This window comes from Homo sapiens, chromosome 9 (assembly GCF_000001405.40).
Source record: "Homo sapiens chromosome 9, GRCh38.p14 Primary Assembly".
Taxonomy (NCBI): domain Eukaryota; kingdom Metazoa; phylum Chordata; class Mammalia; order Primates; family Hominidae; genus Homo; species Homo sapiens.
The window spans coordinates 105,689,341-105,712,256 of NC_000009.12; the positions used below are offsets into that span (position 1 = coordinate 105,689,341).

At 39.2% G+C, this 22,916-nt stretch overlaps 1 protein-coding gene, 1 long non-coding RNA gene and 1 pseudogene across 5 annotated transcripts in view, besides 1 other annotated feature; 1 reads left to right on the forward strand and 2 right to left on the reverse strand.

Moving 5' to 3' along the window:
- Positions 5,035–5,304: a silencer, noted in NCBI's record as "silent region_20154". NCBI's record gives its function as "represses an Ori minimal core promoter by ATAC-STARR-seq in GM12878 lymphoblastoid cells {active_cell/tissue: GM12878}" and the evidence as "EXISTENCE:reporter gene assay evidence [ECO:0000049][PMID:35858748]".
- TMEM38B (transmembrane protein 38B) overlaps positions 5,201–22,916 on the forward strand; it is an 82,089-nt gene continuing 64,373 nt past the window's right edge. For 3 of the 4 annotated variants that reach the window (NM_018112.3, XM_011518832.4, XM_011518831.3), the window contains exons 1-2: positions 5,201–5,432; positions 16,257–16,413. In NM_018112.3, the coding sequence (NP_060582.1) occupies positions 5,321–5,432; positions 16,257–16,413 (269 nt within the window). In that variant the 5' untranslated portion in view covers positions 5,201–5,320. Of the gene's footprint in view, positions 5,433–11,617; positions 12,304–16,256; positions 16,414–22,916 lie in introns of those variants that run through there. The other variant, XM_005252075.3, reaches the window with a different exon arrangement.
- LOC107987107 (uncharacterized) lies at positions 16,959–22,642 on the reverse strand. Its single transcript, XR_001746868.2, has 4 exons — positions 22,529–22,642; positions 18,705–18,852; positions 17,987–18,061; positions 16,959–17,130 (listed from the first exon to the last, which is right to left on the reverse strand). It is a non-coding gene; the product is annotated as an uncharacterized LOC107987107 (long non-coding RNA).
- LOC100421293 (serine and arginine rich splicing factor 10 pseudogene) lies at positions 20,593–21,513 on the reverse strand (annotated as a pseudogene).

The window sequence follows — 22,916 nt, forward strand, 5'->3', positions numbered from 1 at the left end:
AATGATTATACTAGACATCTCTTGGGATGTCTGCCTAGCTCCCTCCTTTCTCTTTATTTTTTTTGAGACAGTGTCTCACTATGTTGCTCAGGGTGGTCTCAAACTCCTGGGCTCAAGCGATCCTCCTGCCTTGGCCTCTCAAAGTCCTGGGAGTACAGGTGTGAACCACTGCACCCAGCCGCTCCTTCCTTTTTCAGGAAATTGCCTCTGATATGTAGGGATGCATCAGATCTGAACCACGTGACCCGGCCTCCCATCAGAACTGATTAACCAGGAGTGTACAGCTGTCCCAGGCCAGGACAGGGTCTTTCTCCTGGCAATATTCAATAGGGGGACCCAGAGGCTAAGAGATGTTGGCACTGAGTATCATCAGTGACTGAGAGAAGTGCACACCCACCTGTTGCTGCTGGCCCCAGAAATGCTCTACTTGCTTTCCTTGGGTCTTGACTGCTCAACTTTTCCTGGCTTTCATGAGATTCCCTAGTAGACTTTCAGCAAATTGCTCATTTTGCTTAAGCTGCACAGAACGGTTTTCTATTACTTGGACTCCATGTTACTATTTTTTTTAAAGGGTCCATTCAACTTCCAAAATTCATTTACTCTGTGATTTAATGGTACCTGTTACTCTTTAACAGAGATGTTGAAGAGCAATATGGTGAACTTAAGTGCTGATGACCACAGACAACTGACAGCTATGGCATTGGTGGGTGACTACAGTTTTAGCAGTCCTTACGCTGAAGAAAGTTAGAGGTATTCCCATAATAACATCAGGTTTTTAATCTGGTAAGTTTGTACTTGTTATACATGGAGAACATTTTTAGTTTACTAGTTTATATTAGTGGTATGAATGACGATTATAGAAAAGGATTTTAGTTTCCAGTGCAATAAATAAGTGAGCCATGTCAGGTTTTCCAAGACACAATATCAAAGGCACTATTATTAGATACATGCTGAGTCTAAAGAGTTGAGTGTATACTTGAATTGGTTGCACTTAAATCTCATGCACTGGCATCTAATTGTACTGATTGAATTCAGTGGGTATTTTGAGGGCAATTGGTGCTCTCTAGCTAATTCTCCTTGATAATCCTGAATATTAAAAAAGGTTGAATTCAAATTACATATACTTTGTCTTAAATGTCACATATTAATACATTATCATTTGATACAGTGTGGCTATCAAGTGCTTATCAAAACAACTTTAGAATGAAAATGCCAGACCAAGATACTAAGGTTTAGGAGTGCAATTGGTCCCTTTAATATGAAACTTGCAAATCGGGGACTCTAAGGTACCTTAAAAAGTTCAATAGCGTGGTAGGGTGACTATAGTTAACGATAGTATATTGTTTATTTCAAAATGGCTAGATGAGATGATTTGATTGATAGACCTTTAAGATTCAAGAGAGAAAAACAAAAAAGATGATTTGAAATGTTCCCAACACAAAGAAATGATAAATGTTTGAGGTGGTGGATAGGCTAAATGCCTTGATTTGATTATAACACGTTGTGTGCACATATCAAAATATCACATGTACCTCATAAATATGTGCAAGTATGATGTATTAATAAAAAAATAAAATAAAAAGTTATTATTATAGATTTCCCAAAGTGAAAGGCATGCCACTTAGTGGGTAGAAAGCAGTATTGCAGGGAAGAAACAGCTAGGATTGCGTGTATGATACTGGGTTTCAGGATATTGTCAGTTTGACCCAGGAAGATGGATGTGTAAACTGAAACTAAGAAGGGTTATACAATTATTCTAGAATTAAAGAGATAAGGAACATTAGTGACATGACCATATTGTTTGTATTAATAGAGGCATATATTGTTGAAGAAAGCATTTATTCATTTATAGCAGTAGTTCTGAACCAGGGGTGATCTTGTGTCCCCCAACCCCTGCCCCTGCCCCAGAAGACATTTGGCAAAGCCAAGACATTTTTGGTTGTTGCAAGTGGAGTGTGTGTGTGTGTGCGTGTGTGCATGGTCCTGGCATCTAGTACCAGTGATGCTGCTAAACATCATACAATGCAAGCACAGTCCACCATGACAAAGAATTGTTTAGCCCCAAATGTTAATCATGCTGGTGCTGCAAAACCTGGTTTATAAAAATTAGATTCACATATTTTTGAACTAAAAAGTGCCTCCAACAGGTTTAGTCAAAACTCTTCTTCAGGCCGGGTGCGGTGGCTTACGCAGTAATCCCAGCACTTTGGGAGGCTGAGCAGGTGGATCACCTGAGTTCAGGAGTTCGACCAGCCTGGCTAGCCTGGCCAACATGGTAAAAACCCGTCTCTACTAAAAATACAAAAAATTAGCTGGGTGTGGTGGCAGGCACCTGTAATCCCAGCTACTCGGGAGGCTGAGGCAGGAGAATTGCTTGAACCTGGGAGGTAGAGGTTGCAGTGAGCCATGATTGTGCCACTGCACTCCAGCCTGGGCAACAAGAGCGAAACTCAGTCTCAAGTAAACAAACAAACAAACAAACAAAACAAAACGAAAAAACACCCCACAGAACTCATTTTTGGATATTAATACAATTAGACCAGTTTGGCTTCCTAATGAATAAGCTATACTTTGTAAATTGGATTCATTTTATCACCAATAATTATGTAATTTTGTATACTGCTTCCAAAAGTCAGGAAAACTTTGAATCTTCACATGTAATTCTCCCAAATCTTGCCTTTCCTTCTCACCAATTTAAAGGTAATTGGTAATTAAAATGCAATTGGTCCATTTAATGTAAAACTTCCTAATTGTGGACTCTAAGGTACTTTAAAAAGTTCAATAGCATGGTAATTTAAAGGTAAGAAGGAAAGGGGTCTTTCCATCCTCCATTTCCTCCTACAATGCTCATTTTAATAGACTAAATAACTCAACCACTGACCAGAAGCAAATACGGTGAGCGCATTTAAAATGTAGATGGAACTTGCCTTTTTTGTGAGATTAGGATTTAATTTCCCCTAGACCTTTATAAGGAAATTTCTTTAGGCTCTAGGCAGATAGGACCAAGCTTATTCTTACTGTTTTGAAATGCAACAATTTTCAAATTATCTTTAGAGTCTGAGATAATTAATTCCTTTCTATTGGAATTATTCTGTTTAAGCAAGTAAAGTGCTTGATTTACTTCCTTAAAAAAACCTCTGATGTTATTCATTTTGCCTTATTGATGTTAATAATGGATTTAATGGTACCCCAGAATAATACTGGTATAGACACACAATTCAGTAGTGTCTTAAAGATTACATCATATATTTTTTTAAGTCCAAAGACTAACCATATATTTTGCAAAATTTAAGACTGTTAAAATGTAAAATATTTAAAGAAATAATATCCAGGCTGGGTGTGAGTGGCTCACGCCTGTAATCCCAGCACTTTGGGAGGCCAAGGCGGGCGGATCATGAGGTCAGGAGTTCCAAACCATCCTGGCCAACATGGTGAAACCCCGTCTGTACTAAAAATACAAAAAAAACGTGGTGGCACGTGCCTTTAATCCCAGCTACTCGGGAGGCTGAGGCAGGAGAATCGCTTGAATCAGCGAGTTGGGGGTTGCAGTGAGCCGAGATCGCGCCACTGCACTCGTCTGGCAACAGAGCAAGATTACATATCAAAAAAAAAAAAAAAAAAAAAAAAAAAAAACAAGAAAAGAAAAAAAAGAAGTAATATCCAAACTCTGAGCCTAAATTCGCAAAACTAAAATTCCAAAAATAAGCGAATGTGTAAAAAGTATGGAAAGAACAGACTTAAACAGGAAAGTATAAATATTCACAGGTGGTTTTTTTCCCCTTAGTTTTGCTAGAAAGTGTGCTACAGGTCTAAAGACTTTTCTCTACGGGAAGTGCTTGCTTAGAAAACCACACGTGAAAAGTATTTGAACAAGTCTATTCTTTCTTGATAAGTAATGAAGTGTAGAGATTTACTACAATTTTCCTACGTTTTAAACACTTAGTGTTTAGGGCAGTATTTCTGACATCCAGCAAAATGCTGGTTACATAGTAGGCACGCAAAAAACATTTTGTTAAATGAATTAAAATTAATGAATACATATTCAGATAAAAAAAATTCTCCTTTTGCAGTGCATACACCCGTGAAGCTGTCACCTACCTAGCAGCTAATCACGTTTCTCCAATTTCCTGGTGCCAGCATAATCTGTTCACACATCAAATAAGTGTGCCAAGCTAGTTTTTTTTCTTACCCAAACCTATTCCTTCTTGTTTCCTATTTATCAGAATGCAACCACAATCCTCCTACTCACCCGTTCCTCATTTTATTTGACAAATGCTTCCTTTCCCGCCTGTACAGACTGACACTCACTGACGATATTCTGCTTCTACCCATGTTTCCCACAATTGGTCTCAATTTCTGCTGCCACAGCCTCCACTACCTTTTGCTTGGACCAGTGAATACCCTCTGATTTTCCGTTGTCAGTCGCTTCTCATCAATCTATTCTTAATCTTGTTGCTTCGTTGCACCTCTACTCCCTCACCTTCCACCAAACAACCCAGTTAGCGTAGAGATTAGGAGAAGAGATTCTGGCTCTGAGCTTAACATAGTGATTGATCAAGAATTTAACCTCTGGAGCCAAACTGCCTGGCTTTGTCTGCCATTCGAGGACTTTTCCCAACCTCATTTCTCACTTTGTAGTCAACCCAAAACACCTCCCTCCATCTCCCACCTAGCTTGTGTTTCTCACTTAACTTTTAAAGTCCAGCTCACATGTCACTTTACTCACTTCCCAGAATTGTAATCTTCGTTTCGAACTGCTCTCGCACGGCAGCTATACTTCTCAGTACCTGCTTTTGTACCATTATGTGCGTTTTTTCTCTTTTTATAAAAAATCTCTTTCAGGGAACGCATAGTTCTTGAGGTCAGGATATTATTGTTTTATTTTTATATCTCCAGTAAGTCACAGTGTGACTTGCACTGTGGTTGCTCGATAAATGTTAGGTGAATGACATCAATTTACAGAAATAAATCCAACTCTGAGCGTCTCCCCTTGAGGACCGTGTTTTGTTCATCTGCACGCTCTCCAGGTCCTGCACTGCGCCCAGGACCAAGAAGACGCTGGACCCTTACTAGGAGAACCGAGGCAAGAGCCGGCTGGAGCCGCGGGGAACCCGCTCGCCCCGCCCACCCGCCTAGCGCCGGTGAGCCTGCGGCTCCCGCGAAGCGCGGCCCCGCCCCCTCGGCGCCAGGGCGCACGCGCGGAGCTGGAGCCGGCGCGGAGGAGCGGGCGGCCGCGGCTGTGCCCTCTCCTACTCCTCACCGCGCGAGCGCGGGGAACCAGTAGCCGCGGCTGCTTCGGTTGCCGCGGTCGGTGGTCGTTATGGATTCTCCATGGGACGAGTTGGCTCTGGCCTTCTCCCGCACGTCCATGTTTCCCTTTTTTGACATCGCGCACTATCTAGTGTCAGTGATGGCGGTGAAACGTCAGCCGGGTGAGTGCGGGGCGCCGCGGGCCGGACCCCTCAGAGTGCTCCTGACGGCGAGGACCGTCTAAGTCGGGTGGGTCGGGTGGGTCGGGTGGGCGGCTGAGTGGCCGCTAGCCCAGACAGTTCGATGGTAGAGTTGGAGGGGCGCCAAGGGCCGGTTGGTCTGACTTACTGAGTGCAGATGGGGAAACAGCGTGGGGGAGGACGGAGGCTCTAGTACTCCTCAAAGGAGGCGTGACCTGGGGTCCGCGAGGCCGTAGCCTGGGCGAGCAGGGCCGACCTTGCCAACCGCCCGCAGAAGTCCCAGGACTGACAGAAGCTGCCGCAGCGTTTCGGAACCACAGATATCCGCGCCAGCCCAGGGCTTGGGCGGCCTCCTCGCGGTACCGCCACTCGCTCGCAGTGTCGCCACTCGCTCGCAGTGTCGCCACTCGCTCGCAGTGTTTGAAAGTCATGTGAGGAGACAGCAGGTTTCTGACTCAGTCTCTTGGAGTAATAGATGGTTGCGGACTACTCTCCAGTTATGAAAGTTGTACAAGCACTGAAACAAAAAGCCTCCTGTAGCCAGACCAGGATTCCCCTTCACGCAGTGTCCTAACACCCTGCCTAGCATGTGAGAAGCGAGTGCGTTCCCCTTTTCACAGTCACGACGGACACTGTACAAGCAAGAGTTACCTGGCGTAGTTTCACTATCTGCAGAATGGGGATATAGTCTTGAAACAGCATTTTGAGTTCTTTTAGCAATGCGATCAAGGGACAGTAGTTGTATTTTATTGGATTTTACACCAGGGTGCGTTTGCTCTAATACTGCTTTACTTTTGTAGTTATTCTACTGTGCTTTTAGTTGTATGGACCTCTTCTTTCTTTGAGGTCAGACATTTCTTTGCCTACTTTCTTTGTGTTCTTGCTGTCTTTCATCTGCCTTGCCCTACGGATAGTTGATGAGTGAGGTCTGGAGGATGATGCTGTATCTTTCTTATGGACTACTTACTGGTTTTAAAAAATCCTTAGACCTCAGAAATATTTTTCATTTATGTTGAAGTTTGTAGCTCAGTTTAAATCGTTGGTACAAATTTTGACCTGGATGAGGATGGTATTACTGCATTAAAGTAGAACACATTATCTGCATAAGATATTATTTCTTTGATTTGAAAAAAGTAAGTTTTGTTGCTACTACATGTTCAGAATTTGATTAAAAAAATTTTTTTTTGTATAGGCTGAATCAGATGTTCACATTGTGGTCCAGGGACCCATGGGATTCTCTGACACTGCCAGTTTAAAATTACTTTCGTAATAATATGCAGATGTTATCTTTTTCACTCTCATTTTTTCAGAAGTGTACAGTGGAGTTTTCCAGAGGCTACCTGAGTTGTGATACTGTAACAGAAGGAAGTAGATATGAGAATCTAACAGTTTTCTATTTGAAGCCAGACATTTGTTAGAATGTACACAGTGTGATTCTTCTCACTAAATGTTTTTTGTTTTGGAAAAGTTATTTTTCATAAAGAATACATTATCATTATTATTATTATTATTTTTGAGACGGAGTCTCTCTGTCGCCCAGGCTGAAGTGCAGTGGCGCGATCTCGGCTCAGTGCTGCAACCTGTGCCTCCTGGGTTTAAGCGATTCTCCTGCCTCAGCCTCCGGAGTAGCTGGGAGGCGCCTGCCACCAAGTTCGGCTAATTTTTGTATTTTTAGTAGTGGAGACGGGGTTTCGCCATGTTGGCCAGGCTTGAAGAATACATTATTTATGTTAACATTTAATACATTTACTTTTTAAAAAATGAAAACATGAAGAACAATTGTTGCATAGTGGACAGGTCTATGCAGTCCTATCCCCAAAGGCTGAGGAAGCTGAGAGGCTGAGGAATCCAGTTTCTTAGAAAGAAACCTTTAAAAGGGACTTAAGAACAGAAGCCATGTCTTGGGTGGCCCCAAGGAGATGGTGGATCACCCCATTACCCGACCCCCAACCCCCAACCAGAGATGTGTAGGACAGTTGCTTAAGAGCAGGATTTATGGTAAGTGAAATAGCGTCAAGGTTGTTTGACCTAAGGGCAAGATCGGTAAGTGTATACTTTTACACAAGGAACAGTAGATAAAATATAAATCTTAGAGGCAATCCCAGAACTGGGGTTAATCATAAGTCAACATGGCGGATGTTGGAGTTGCTTTAGCCGCCACAACTATTTAAAATTTTCTCAGTTATAATTTCTAAGATGCTAAGTATTGATACTTGTAGCCAACATAAACAAAACCTTTTGGGGTTGTCAAGAAATTTAAGTCCGATTTTTTAAAAGATGTAATTCACATAGAATCTGTTCACCATTTTTAATAAAAAGTTCTGTGTTTTTGGACAGACACATACAGTCATTCAACTACCATCACAATCAAGATACTGAACGGTTTCCTCACCCACCCTAAATTCCTTCCTGCACTTTTGTGTAAGCTGTCCCCTATCCTTGGCAAGCATTAATCTGTTTACTAATTTTTAGGGATGTAGAGGGCTCCTGAGATTCCATAATTTGAGAACCACGTGATTATTGAATACTTATATAGTATCATACAGTACCAGTACTTGTAAGGAGGTAAAAATGATGGAATTCAGACACAAGAGTGAACAGTGTACCTGTTTAGCCTTTTACCCGAAGTGTGTTAGACTGCCCATTTCCTTTGACAGTTCTATTATTGGTCTTCAATATCTTGCCATTCTGATGATCAGAAAGCAATTTTTCATTTATGTTTGTCATGGTACTGATGTGTTTGTGCCTCTTATTGGTCATTTGTATTTCATGTAAATTGCTTAATTTTTTTTTGTCCATTTTCTTATTGGGCTGTAGGTTATTGTCTTCTATTTACTGTCTTTGTGGATCATGGATATTCATTCTATTTATGTCTGTAGTCCTTTTTTCCCATAACTCTTGCTATCTTTAACTTTGTTTATATTGTCTTTTATTGCAGAAGTTTAAAAAATCTCATAATATTTTTACTTTTCCATGAAAAAATCTATTAATTTTTTTCTCCTATGTCACTATTGGGATTTGTGCATTTTAAGAAGGGGTTTCTCAGGCCTAAGGTTATAAAAATACTCGTCCTTGATCTTTTTTTAAAAAATTCTATAGTTCTATAAAAGTATAGGTTCGTAATCTATCTGCAGTATTTTTTGTTGTATAGATGTTCCTTTGCAAGTCTGGTCATGGCTGGATAGAACAGTTGGAACTCAATGATCTCAGCAGAGTATGCTCTATGCTCATTGAACTGGTTCTGCTCTAGACCTTTACTAAGATCATCCCACGTGCATAGACCTCTGGAATGTCCTTAGTTCTTGTTTGTTTTCTTTAGCGTCCCATTTTTTTTTTTTCTGTGAGCTACTGAAGTCCTTCCAATGAATTCTTTATGGCTTAAGTTTGTTGGTTTTTGCTGCTTGTAGCCAAGAACCCGGGTTCCATTTCTTTTTCTAGCCTCTTATATATTAAAGAGTGTTTTGTTGAATACTAATGATAGTGAGTGACTTTGTCTTACTCCTGATATTCCTGAATTTAATGAGAATGCTTTTAAAGTTTTCTCAAGAGTGATGTTTGCTATAGGTTTTTATGAGGGACACTTTAAGGAAGTTTTACTTTATTCCCAACTTTCTAGGATATCCCTATATCTTTACACCATCCTGGTGGAGAAGGTGACATATTTTATCAAGTGCTATTTTTTTTTCAAAATCTATTGAGATCATATTGTGTTTCCCATTTAAAAATGTAATGTAGTGAATTACATTATTACGTTTTTTAAAAAATGATGAATCATCCTTATATTCTTGGACTAAACTACTTGATACATTATTTTAATTCATTAGGGATTTTGATTTGGCAGTACTTCATGTAAAATTTTTGCATTTATGTTTATAATAGAAATGAGCCTATTAGGTTATTTTATTGTGTGACCCTCAGTTTGGGCCCAAGGTTATGCTGTTTTTGTAAAATAGATTGGGAAGCTTTCCATTTTTTAAGCTTGGAATGGTTTATTTAATAGGCATTGCTTGTTCTTTGATATTTGGTAGACTTCAACTATGTAGTTTTATGTTTCTTGGTATATTTTAATGGGTAAATCTTATTTTTTTTCCAATCCAGACCTAAGTCATTTTGGTAATTTATGTCTCTCTCAGGAATCATCTATTTCTTTTAGACTTCCAAGTCTATTGGAGTAAATGTTTACATTATATTGTAGAAAATTTCTCTGGATTCTTTGGTAGTTAATTCTTAAATGTTATCTATTTCACTTGAATCTTCTGGATCTTAATCACTTTATGTCCTATGGTAATTTTTTTACACTCCATATATGTCTTTTTTTCTTCTAACTCATTTTGAATAAGATACATTTGTTCAGGCTCAGTAGATGGAGTGAGTAGCTTGTATTACTCTCTATTTATGTGGTCAGCATTCCTTTTTCATAGTCAGAACTGAAGCTAATATGTGTGTACTCCTCCTACTCCAACACCACTTCTTTTAGATTTTTACTTAGAATATGTATGCATTACTTAATTGGCAACTTTTTCCTATCCCCCCAGTGATTGATTCTCTAGAACTCACACCTACAGTAAACTGTAATTCTCATATATCCTACTGCCAGAGTTCTTCATATATTTACCCTCTCAGACGTGTTACTCCTTGAGACTTTATTTTGGTATGCACTCTGCCACTAACAATACCTCACTCCGTACTTTCCCACCATTTATATCGGATCTTTTGTACTGTCTGCCTAGATCTTAAACAATGCCACCAGAAGCAAAATGATAAAGGGGATTAACTCTTTTCTGCCTAAGGTGTGAAGGACTGCATCCCATTTTTGTTTGGTTCAGGTTTTCGGCTTTAAAATCCCAGGAAAGATAATACTCCTCCAGCCTTCTATGTAACTTTTGCTTCATAAGCAAAGACATAAAAGACATCAGGTAATACAACAAGTGGGATTAATTTTTTCTTTGTTTACCTCCATTTGTCTCGTGAACAAACATGTGAATCCTCCTGAACCCTTGCGTGTGATTGGCTATAGTTTTCAGTTTGGGCTGATAGTATAAGTTTTTTTTGTTTGTTTGTTTTTCTTTTCTCTGTCTCCTGGGCATTTTATTAGGAAGTTGGAATATGCTGTTTTGGTGGTTGCTAGTGAGAAGCCATTTTAACAGGAAGTTTACATCATTACTTTTAATCTATCTTATCTTACATTTTAAATGTCTCTTAAGTCTTCATTAAAATAAACACATTTCTTCAATCCTACATTCACATCAAACCACCATTTTGTGTAAGACTTCCTGACTACAGTAATTTCTATTACACACAAAATGTATTGTTTTACTCTAAATTCTGCCATGACTATTCTGCTAACCTCTCTGAAGTCATACATAATTAATTTTAGCAAATATTCATTGAAACTCTGTATTGGGCATTATATTAGATGTTTAGGATACCGCCATGAAAGATGCTGTTATAGCCCTAAAGAGACTTATTGGTGCTTTTTCTTTATTTTTGATAGTGTCACATAAGGTTGCACTACCTTTTCTACACAATAATAGTAGCCATCATTGATTTTAGATACTGGGAGAACATTTCAGTATGTTAATTCTATTCCTCACACATTCCTGTAAGGTAGGTATTATTTAACTCATTTTATAGATGAGGAATAGTTTTAAGGGATAAAATAACCTCCCTTAAGTCACATGGTTTAGTAAATTATGGAGCTAGTTCTTGACTCCAGATCTGGTTCATTCCAAAATTTCTTACTATTCTGTGCCTTATCTTTGCATGACCATTTACTGTTCCTGGTTTCAATAATTAGCAATTTCTCAATAAGGTGTCACTTGACATGGTTATTTTCTCCAATGATTTCTGTCGTTTCTATGAATTAAATCCTGGAATAAAGTTTGTCATTGTTCCTTTCCTGTAATTTGTGGGAGATGAAAGTTTGTAAGTCTAGGATTTATCAGTTCTGGGCATCCTGGAAAGGTGACAGCAGTGGTGGCAGCTGAGTTTTGCAATATCTTTATGAGTCCCCATGTAAAAACAGGGAAAAGTGCAAAAGTCATAAATGTACAGCTCAGTGGATTTTCAAACACACCCATATGCAGATAAAAATAGAACATTTATGACACTCCCCAAAGCCCCTTTGTTACATGATTTAAAGAGCCAGAGGCCATGTGCACGGGTTCACATGGCCTGTGGAGGAAACACCTGAGCAGTGTTTCCTCCACAGGGGTCTCAGTCTGGGCTCTAAAGAGCTCCTCCACCAAGTTTCTAAATTTTAATAATTTCAGCCTATTGTTCCCCCAGAGTAGTAACTGCTTTCTGGAACTGAACTCTGTGATAATGTAGTATTTACTTTTTGCCTTTTCAATAACCTAGTTAACAATTTTATACCTACTGAGTTCTATTTAAATAATGGTATTTTCTATCTCCTGACTGGACAGATACCCAGGAGTAGGGTTTGAACTTCCTACTTTCTGGTTTGCATATATCTTATTAAGATAACTAAAGTACTTGCTACTTGCCAGTCTTCAGACCCGGTCAGTGTAATGTCATCAGTGCAGCAGATCAGTGTGATGTGTGATTTCTCAATGTGATCAAAATCTCTGGACTATTTTAGAGAGCAAGAGTGTTAACATAGACCTGAAGCAAGACTGTAATGGTTGAACAAAGCACAAAGTGCTTCTGAGATTTTTTGCAAATTAATAGGAAGAAAAAAGCATTTGCTTCCAAGTTATAAGAATTGTGTTGATTTGACCCCGTAAAAATACTACATCTTGAATACTAGCTGCAATTACAGTCACGACCTTTCTGTGTTTATAATTCATAGCTATTCTCCAAGATCCATCTGTCTTATATTTAGATCAAACAGGTAAGTTAGTGGAATGTGGTAGCTATCACCACCTTTTTGTCTTTGGTTGTGGCACCAATTTCTGTGGTATTGTTTTTGGTTACTTTGTTGGTGAGGAGAGGAATACCTAGGGGCTTCTATGTGATCCATTATACCATATTGCTCCTTATGCCATAAATCAGAGAATCTATATGGGCATTGAGTCAGTTGCCAAGTATGTCTGTTCTAATTACTCATTAAGGAACTGGGGAATAACTGCAAGGTGAGTATGTGGATCTACCTGGCCCACTATGATTCAAACTTGATCTAAGGCTGGGTGCAGTGGCTCACGCCTGTAATCCCAGCACTTTGGGAGGCTGAGGCAGGAGGATCACTTGAGGCCAGAAGTTTGAGACCAGCCTGGCCAACATAGTGAGACCCCATCTCTGAAAAAATTTAAAAAAATTTAAAAACCAAAAAAATCCCCCAAACTTGATCTAAAACTCCTTGAATTGTGTCATAGATAATCTGTAAGCCTCTGTTGCTTACGTGATTATTTTTAAATAATTTTGATGAAAAAGCATACTTGAGGCATATAGGATATGTTGTTCATTTTTCTCTCTTTTTAAAAAGAAGATAAATCTATAAAGGGGAAAGACTAAAGCAAAAGTAAACTAATATGCAATTTAAAAATATGTAATATGTAGAGTTGAAGTTTTAAGAAGGCTAGAACATTCCCATGCTTCTTTCTAGAAGTTATGTCAGCCACTAGCAAGTTGAATGTCAACTGTTTTGAAAATAGCTACAGTGCAAGTAGTTCTTAAAAACAGGGACACACTCTGGAACTAAAATAGACTGAGTACAAGAAAATAAAGAAGTCATGTATGCAGTGCATTAACAAAATATCTTTCTAACTTTTGTTATAACTGTAAGTTCATAAAACTATTAAGCGTAGTCTAATGATTCATTTTGCCAGAATTTGGGATTATTTTGTAGATGTGATTTTAAATGTATTTATGGAAGTACAGTGTGACTTTATTTTTCTTTGTAGCTTTCGTTTCATGATGAAGTTATTTATTTATTTATTTATTTATTTTTGATACAGGGTCTCACTGTGTTGTCTAGGCTGAGTGCATTGGCACTATCATGGCTCACTGCAGCCTGGAACTCCTGGGCTCAGTGATTCTTCCACTTTAGCCTCCTGAGTAGCTGAGACTACAGGTGTGTACTATCAAGCCTGGCTAATTTTTTATATTTTGTGGAGATGGGAGTCTTGCTATGTTGCTCAAGCTGGTCTCGACCTCCTGGACTCAAGCAATCCTCCCAGCTTGGCCTCCCAAACCAAAGTGTTGTGATTGCAGGTGTGAGCCACCATGCCTGGCTGAAAGCATTTTGATATTAAAGTTCATATGTAATTATTTGCATTTTAAACATCTTATATTTGGAATTAGATTTAGGTCTCAATGTGACAAATGTTGCTAAGAATTTTGGGGAAAATAATTCTATTGATAGCGTATTTCAAACATCTTAAGGTAGGACAGAGAAATTTCTTTTTTCTCTTCTAAATGCCAGTACATTAAAATAAAATAATTTGAGTTGGAAGCCAGGTGTGGTGGCTCATGCCTGTAATCCCAGCACTTTGGGAGGCTGAGGCGGGTGAATCACTTGAGGCCAGGAGTTCCAGACCAGCGTGGCCAACATGGTGGAACTCTGTCTCTACTAAAAATACAAAAATTATTTCCAATTTCATCCATGTCTCTACAAAGGACATGAACTCATCATTTTTTATGGCTGCATAGTATTCCATGGTGTATATGTGCCACATTTTCTTAATCCAGTCTGTCATTGTTGGACATTTGGGTTGGTTCCAAGTCTTTGCTGTTGTGAATAATGCCGCAATAAACATACGTGTGCATGTGTCTTTATAGCTGCATGATTTATAGTCCTTTGGGTATATACCCAGTAATGGGATGGCTGGGTCAAATGGTATTTCCAGTTCTAGATCCCTGAGTAATCGCCACACTGACTTCCACAATGGTTGAACTAGTTTACAGTCCCACCAACAGTGTAAAAGTGTTCCTATTTCTCCACATCCTCTCCAGCACCTGTTGTTTCCTGACTTTTTAATGATTGCCATTCTAAGTGGTGTGAGATGGTATCTCATTGTGGTTTTGATTTGCATTTCTCTGATGGCCAGCGATGATGAGCATTTTTTCATGTGTTTTTTGGCTGCATAGATGTCTTCTTTTGAGAAGTGTCTGTTCATGTCCTTCGCCCACTTTTTGATGGGGTTGTTTGTTTTTTTCTTGTAAATTTGTTTGAGTTCATTGTAGATTCTGATGAAACTGGAAATCATCATTCTCAGTAAACTATCGCAAGAACAAAAAACCAAACACCGCATATTCTCACTCATAGGTGGGAATTGAACAATGAGATCACATGGACACAGAAAGGGGAATATCACACTCTGGGGACTGTTGTGGGGTAGGGGGAGGGGGGAGGGATAGCATCAGGCGATATACCTAATGCTAGATGACGAGTTAGTGGGTTCAGTGCGCCAGCATGGCACATGTATACATATGTAACTAACCTGCACAATGTGCACATGTACCCTAAAACTTAAAGTATAAAAAAAAAATACAAAAATTAGCCTGGTGTGGTGGCGCGTGCCTATAATCCCAGCTACTTGGGAGGCTGAGGCATGAGACGTGCTTGAACTCAGGATGCTGAGGTTGCTGTGAGCCGAGATCACTCCACTGCACTCCAGCCTTGGCAACAGAGCGAGACCCTGTCTCAAAATAAATAAATAAGTAATTAAGTAAATAAATAAATATAGTTTGAGTTAGAGACATTGTTCATATCTAGAATGTTTTATTGGCCTTTTTTTTGGGTGTTTTTTTGACTTTGACATTTAAAAAATATAAGCCAGTTGTTGTTGTTGTTTGTTGTTTGTTTTTGTTTTCTCAGAGTAGCCCTCAGTTTGGGTTTGTCTGATTCGATTAGTTCAGGTTGTATATTTTTGTTAGAAATAACCACAGAAGTGGCCGGGCTCGGTGGCTCACGCCTGTAATTCCAGCACTTTGGGAGGCCGAGGTGGGTGGATCACGAGATCAGGAGTTTGAGACCAGCCTGGCCAACATAGTGAAACCCCGTCTCTACTAAAAATACAAAAATTAGCTGGGCGTGGTGGCAGGTGCCTGTAGTCACAGCTACTTGGGAGGCTGAGGCAGGAGAATTGCTTGAACCCAGGAGGTGGAGGTTGTGGTGAGCCAAGATCGCATCACTGCACTCCAGCCTGGGGAACAGAGCAAGACTCTATCTCAAAGTAAAAAAAAAAAAGAGATACCACAGAAGTGATGATGTGTTCTCAGTGTATCATATCAGGAGTCACTTGATGTTATTTACAGTGATGTCTGAAAGGTTTCCCCCACTCTCAAGTTATTATTTTCCTCTACAATTAATAAGTAATTAGTTAAGACTCGTGTTGAGGTAGTATAAATATCTATTCCTAAGAAACCTTTCACCTTTAGGTTTATTTTGTTACTCTGTTTCTCACCTGTCTTGTTGAAAGCTTAGTTTATTTATTTCAACTTCTTTATTTTCCAATATACTTAAGATTGTAAATTTTTCTTAATAAATCACTTTGACATATTGTCTGGGAGTGCTTACTGTAGGGTTTGGGATGGAAGGAGACAATAAGTGAGAATATCGTTTATAATAATCCATTACTAGGAAACTGGCAATGACAGCCTAAACAGAACAGAGTATTTTAAAGGTGCCAAAGTGCCAAAAATCACCCATTAACAAAATGTTTCCAGTCTTGCTTTAAAGAATAAAAGGTATGATTTTTAATGATTTTGACTGGCACACCTATGAATAATAGTTGTTGAAAATTATGAATTTAAGAAGTTTATTTGTTTAGTGCAACTTGTACTTTGGGGCTTGTTTAATAAATGTATAATGATCACAGACCATATTTTACTTTACCATTTCAGGAGCAGCTGCATTGGCATGGAAGAATCCTATTTCAAGCTGGTTTACTGCTATGCTCCACTGTTTTGGTGGAGGAATTTTATCCTGTCTACTGCTTGCAGAGCCTCCATTGAAGTTTCTTGCAAACCACACTAACATATTACTGGCATCTTCAATCTGGTAAGCTGCCAGTATGGTGACCTATGTGACATTTAAACAATTGTGTTGTAAATTGTTAGTAAAATGAATTTTTTTTTCTTTGAACAATATTTTACGTGCTTGAAAAGTTAATGCATCTGCAAGGAAGGAACCCAAATAATGCTAAGGGGTTTTTTTTTTTTTTTTGAGACGGAGTCTCACTCTGTTGCCCAGGCTGAAGTGCAATGGCATAATCTTGGCTCACTGCAACCTCCACCTCCTGGGTTCAAGTGATTCTTCTGCCTCAACCTCTGGAGTAGCTGGAATTACAGCACCCGCCCTCACGCATGGCTAATTTTTGTATTTTTGTAGAGACGGGGTTTCACCATGTTGGCCAGGCTGGTCTTGAACTCCTGACGTGAGGTGATCTGCCCGCCTCGGCCTCCCAAAGTGCTGGGATTACAGGTGTGAGCCACCGCACCCAGCCATGCCAAAGGCTTTAAGTGTAAAGTATATCTCTTTCTTTTTTATTTTCCCTTATCTTCTCCCAGAAGCAATTATTGTCTGCCATTGTCTTATGTACCTTTTTTGTTGTTGTTGAGACATAGTCTTGCTATGTGCAAGACTGCAAGTGCAGTGGCGCGCTCTCAGCTTGTTGCGGGACGCAGAGGATTAGAGAGACCAGTATGCGTGAATACAGGAGGATATTTATTGTGAGGTACACACCGGCTCAGTGGATTTACCTCCAAAAAGCTGGGCCTTGAATAAAGACAGAGCGAGGTTTTTATAAGTGGGCTCATAAGAGCAAAACAAAGGTAGTTAATCATATAGTGCATAACTTGTGGCCTTGCATAGCTGGTGGCCTTTTAGCTGTGTCAAAAGAAAAACAAGAATTGGCTAAATACAGGCATTTGTAAAACACCGTTATGCTTAAGAGGCAAGGGAAAGGAGTAACAATAAAGGAATTTGTCTTTCTCTCTCTTTTTTTTTTCCTTAACCTTGCTCTGGAGGGGGCGGGGGTGTCTGGAGCCCATTCCTCTGTCCTTGGCTTTTTGGACAGTGTTATAACTGTTCTTGAATTGAGCTGCTAAGCAGAGGAAAACTTTTTTTTTTTTCTTTTTAACCCTTATTACAGGCTCACTGCAACCTCCACCTCCTGGGTTCAAGCGATTCTCCTGTCTCAGCCTCCCAAGTGGCTGAGATTACAGGCATGCGCCACCACGTCTGGCTAATTTTCTGTATATTTAGTAGAGACGGGGTTTCACAATGTTGGCCAGGCTGTTCTCAAACTTCTGATGTCAAGTGATCTGCCCGTCTCAGCCTCCCAAAGTGCTGAGATTACAGGCGTGAGCCACCATGCCCAGCCTGTCTTATGTATCTTTAATAGAAGCATTTCCAATATGAAAGGGCATTAAGTATTTGGCCCTAGAGTTTATCTTGTGAACCTAACTGATACACGCAGATATACAACATGATAAAATCATGTATGTGACCAACTGAAACTAACCAAAAAGTCCAAATAATTATGGCTCATATTTAATTATTCTTCTCATACTCTGTTGATTTTATGAGATCTTTAAATTTTATAATTTTGAAGTGAAGAAAAAAATGTTACCCGGAATTGCCTTGAATTCTTGCAAATCCAAATTCGTTATCCTTAAGAGGATTGATCCATCAAGTTTAAAATAATCTATAATAAAAATTATAGTTTTTTTAATGTATAAAGCAGAAACTGTTTTCTGTTAAGAACCATATCATTAAATATATAACAGGAACACTTACAGTTCATTTTTATTGTGATAATTTTAAAATGAATATGTAACCAGTTCTAAAAGGGATATTACAAATAATAGTAGCAATGGGAAAAAGTAATCCTGGGAACCTATGGCAATGTTGAGTTGTTACGATATGTCAGTTAAGTTCTTTATATTCATTGTTATATTTAATCAGAGGAGTACTATAAGGTAGCTATTATTATTTCCATTTGACAAATGATAAAATTGAGGCATAGGGAAATGCTGCTATAACTTTCTTGTCTAGTAAGTGGTTGAGCTAGAATCAAAACAAGAAGTTTTTAACTTTAGAGTCTTCACACTTTGTAGCCACTATCTCTCACAGATTTGTTTAACCATCTCTTAAAGTGTAGTCTTCCAGTTGCTATGTGTTTTAAAAAACTTTCCCAAAGACTTTTATTTCTATAACAATATTTTTAAAAGTTATTAGCATTTTGGAAGAATTTTTTGATGTGTATAGATGCTGAAACTATACAAAAAGGAAGATATCCAGAATTTGATACTTTCTGTTATTTCTACTTCTGTTCCTATAATACTAACCTCCTGGATGATTGCAGGAGCTTCCTAAGTGGTCTTGCTGCTTCTTTGATTATCCCTTTGAGTCTATTCGTTATTCTTCATGGAGCAGACAAAATTATTACAGTTGGCCTTCTATACCCATGGGTTTTGCATGCTTGAATTCAACCAGCTGCAGATCAAAAATATTTGGAAAAAAATCCAATAAAAAATAACAATGCAACAATAAAAATAATGCAAATAACAATAATGTGTAACAACTATTTGTATAGTATTTACACTGTATTAGGTATTATAAATAATCTAGAGATGATTTAAAGTGTAGTGGAGGATGTGTGTAGGTTATGTACAAATCCTCTGCTATTTTATATAGGGGCTCTCACATTCACAGATTTTGAAGGAGAATCCTGAAACCAGTCCCCTACAGATACTGAGGGACAACTTAAGTTAGAACATGTCACTCATGTGCTCAGTAATTTCTTATCTTATTAAGAACAATATCCCAAACTTTTACCATGGCCTGTAAAACCCTGCAAAATACTCGCTTTCACTTTCTTTTATGTAACGTCTTACAACTCTATTCTTGCTCAGTTTGCTCTAGTCACATGAGCTTTGCTATTTCTTGAATGTTCCAACGTAAGGTATTCTTCTACCTCAATGCCTTTGTACTTTCTTTCTTCTCTTTGTAATCTTTTTTTCCTCAGAAGTCTCATATTTTGTTTTATCAGAGAGGCCTTCCCTGACTAAAGTAGCACCTCCTCTCCCATGACTATCACATCATCCTTCTTTATTTTTCTTCTTAGAATTATTGCTATCCAACATGTTATCTGTTGATTTTTTTTTTTATGTTGCTCTAACTATACTGGAATAATAGCCCATCAGAGAGTGAGCCATCATGCCTGGCCCCTGGCTAATGTTTAAAATTTTTATATTTGTTGAGATGAGGTCTCACTATGTTTCCCACGTTGGCTATTTTTTTTTTTTTTACTGTCAAAGTTATTTATTCACTATACATAGAACATGTCCCCTATAAAATGTACATGTAAATCACTAAAAAGTAAAATTTGGTGAACATTTTCTCAATTACAGAACATACTACATCAGTTGGGATAATAGCTGTCTACCTTAAAATAATCTAATTATAGCACCCAGTCTCGTTTATATCTAATGCAAAGTTAAATACTTATTTTGGGGGTTATTTCCTAGTATGTGTTTGGTGAGGCTGAGTAAACAATTTAATATAACTCCAGTATATTACAGTCACTGCACAATAAATCAGTTTATTACAGATTAAAACAAATCATTTTTTAATTATTTGTAATAATGGGATCAGACAAACACGGGATAATTTTAAATGGCATATAACCACACAATTACTTATCTTTGATAGTATATTGGGTTCTATAATTATATTAAGATATGAATGGTGTAAAATATTGTAACGAATAATACATCTCAAACAAGACAATTAGGCCATACTGTAATCATTCACTAGATTGTACCCAGTAGACATTTACTGAATAAGGGAATTATCTACTTTTCTCCTCAATTAACCAGTACAATGTTTTGCCCACAGTGTCAGCACTCAATAAATATTTGCTGAACATACTGACTAGGATAGAGGTGAGAAGAGATGGGCCCTCTTAGCTGGATGTCGAATATAATTGGAATTTACCTGGGAAGGAGAGTAGTTAAGGAAGATGTAAACTGCATGTGGTGTACAAGTAAATAAACGCAGATGCCAACAAAGCCAATGATTAAGCAGAAAACACTGACACCAAAATAAACAAAGGCAAGATTTGCCAATAATGGCGAAAATGGAACTTTTATATTGGACCATAACTTTTCCCACCTAAATCAGTTTGAGGCAGACCAACAGAGGCACTGTAAGAGACTACGGCTGTCTTCCTTGATATTCAGACATCCTAGTTTCCAATAATTTATTATGGACCTATTACCCATGAATCAATATACGCTTATTCATATTTAGGGATTAGTTTCCGCAAGTACAAAGTTGAATGTCCTTTTATTTGTCCTAAAATGCTTACTTTCAAACTTGAGGGGACTTCAATTATTCCATGTAGTTTTCGATAACATTCTTTTATCTTTTCAGACCAGAGTCAAAATATTTGTACAGTATTCATACTGCAGCACCTTCCACACACCCCTTTGTCACTTGAACTGCCCTTCTTTGGTTCTTTTTCCACTTTCAGATCTTTCTTGAAGTCTAGTAAGCACAACTGTACTGGATATTCCAGCTACAGTTTGGTCTGTCATTGTCGGAATGGCTTCTGCTACTCTGTGGTCTTCCAGCCAGTCTATTTCTAGGATTATATGATCTTCTATAGTTGTTATGAAAAGACTGACTTCATGATCTCCTTCTTTCATAACTTCGGCTTCTAGGACGTCTGTATCTGTCATAATCATCATAGCGTGAAGAACTGTACATATTCCTCCCTTCCTTGGCTTTCATCTGATTTGGTGTCTTCCGATCCCCCTGGGCAAACTGTATTTCAATCTGCCCTCCACAAATCCACTTTCTGTCCAAATTATATAAAGTGTCTTCAGCATCAGGAACACCCTCAAATTGAACAGAAGCAAATCCTCTCTTGGATGGTGAGTGTGGAAATCAAGTGGAACATACACATCAACTATAGGATCATAACGACCAAATTCACACCGTAAATCTTCAGACCTGGTGTCGTTGGCTATGTTCCTGACAAACAGAGACATGTTGGGGAGACGGCAGGTAGCGGGACATGAAGGCTGCGTGTCTCCACTGGGTGCACTAACGGGCCCAGCAAACCGTCCATGGCTCTGGCTGCCAAGCCTCAGACACACACAGCCAGAGGGCTCCGCTATGGCAACCGCCTCTTTTCCTGAGACTTCACTCCCACCTCCACTGCCCACCTCCTACCTCTGCGCAAAGCTGGGACCACGGTGGTTCTTTCCCGCAAGATCACCAGGCAGCTGGTGATTTTTTTAAATGCAAAATTTCAAGTAATACTGAATTAGTTACAAAAAGTATTTATAAAGTTATGCAAAATAGAATTGTGATATAATGAAGTTATATATCCATCATTTAGATTAGGAAAAAAATTGTCACTTAAATAAATCTTTGTATTAAAAAGTGAAAATAGCTGGGCACGGTAGCTCAGGCGTGTAATCCCAGCACTTTGGGAGGCCGAGGTGGGCGGATCACCTGAGGTCAGGAGTTCGAAACCAGCCTGGCCAACATGGTGAAACCCTGTCTCTACTAAAATTACAAAAATTAGCTGAGCGTGGTGGCCTGTGCCTGTAGTCCCAGCTACTTGGGAGGCTGAGGCAGGAGAACAGCTTGAACCTGGGAGGTGGGGGTTGCAGTGAACCGAGATCGTGCCACTGCACTCCAGCCTGAGTAACAGACCTAGACTCTGTCTCAAAAAAAAAGAAAAGAAAAGAAAAAGGAAAATACAGAAAACCACAAAGCCAAACATAAGACCTAATGAATTATTATAAGGTACATCCTTGTAACCACTACCCAAATCAAGAAATACAACTTTGCGCCTGGGACAGTTGCTCATGCCTGTAATCCCAGCACTTTGGGAGGCTGAGGCATCGCTTGAGCCCAGGAGTTCGAACAACTGGTAAAACCTGGTCTCTACCAAAAATTAGCTGAGTGTCGTGACGCATGCCTGTAGTCCCAGCTATTTGGAAGGCTGAAGTGGGAGAATCACCTGAACCCTGGAAGTCGAGGCTGCAGTGAGCTGTGATTGCACCACTGCACTCCAGCCTGCACGTAGGAGTGAGACCCTGTCTCCAAAAAAAAAAAAAAAAGATAAGAAAAGAAATACAACTTTGTCACTTACCTCCTTACCTTAGAAGTCCTTTTTGTGTGTCCCATTCCAATCCTAACCCCCTTCTCTCTCTTTTTTTTCTGGAGACGGAGTCTTGCTCTGTTGCCCAGGTTGGAGTGGAGTGGCTCTCGGCTCACTGCAATTTCTGCCTCCCAGGTTCAAGCAGTTCTTCTGCCTCAGCCTGAGTAGCTGGGACTAAAGGTGCATGAAACTATGCCCAGCTAATTTTTCTATTTTTAGTGCAGCCGGGGTTTCACCACGTTGGCCAGGCTGGTCTCGAATTCCTGAGCTCAAGTGACCTGCCTGCATTGGCCTCCCAAGGTGCTGGGATTACAGGCTTGAGCCACTGTGCCCGACCGACTTCCCACTTTAAATAACCATTATGATAACATACCAGTAT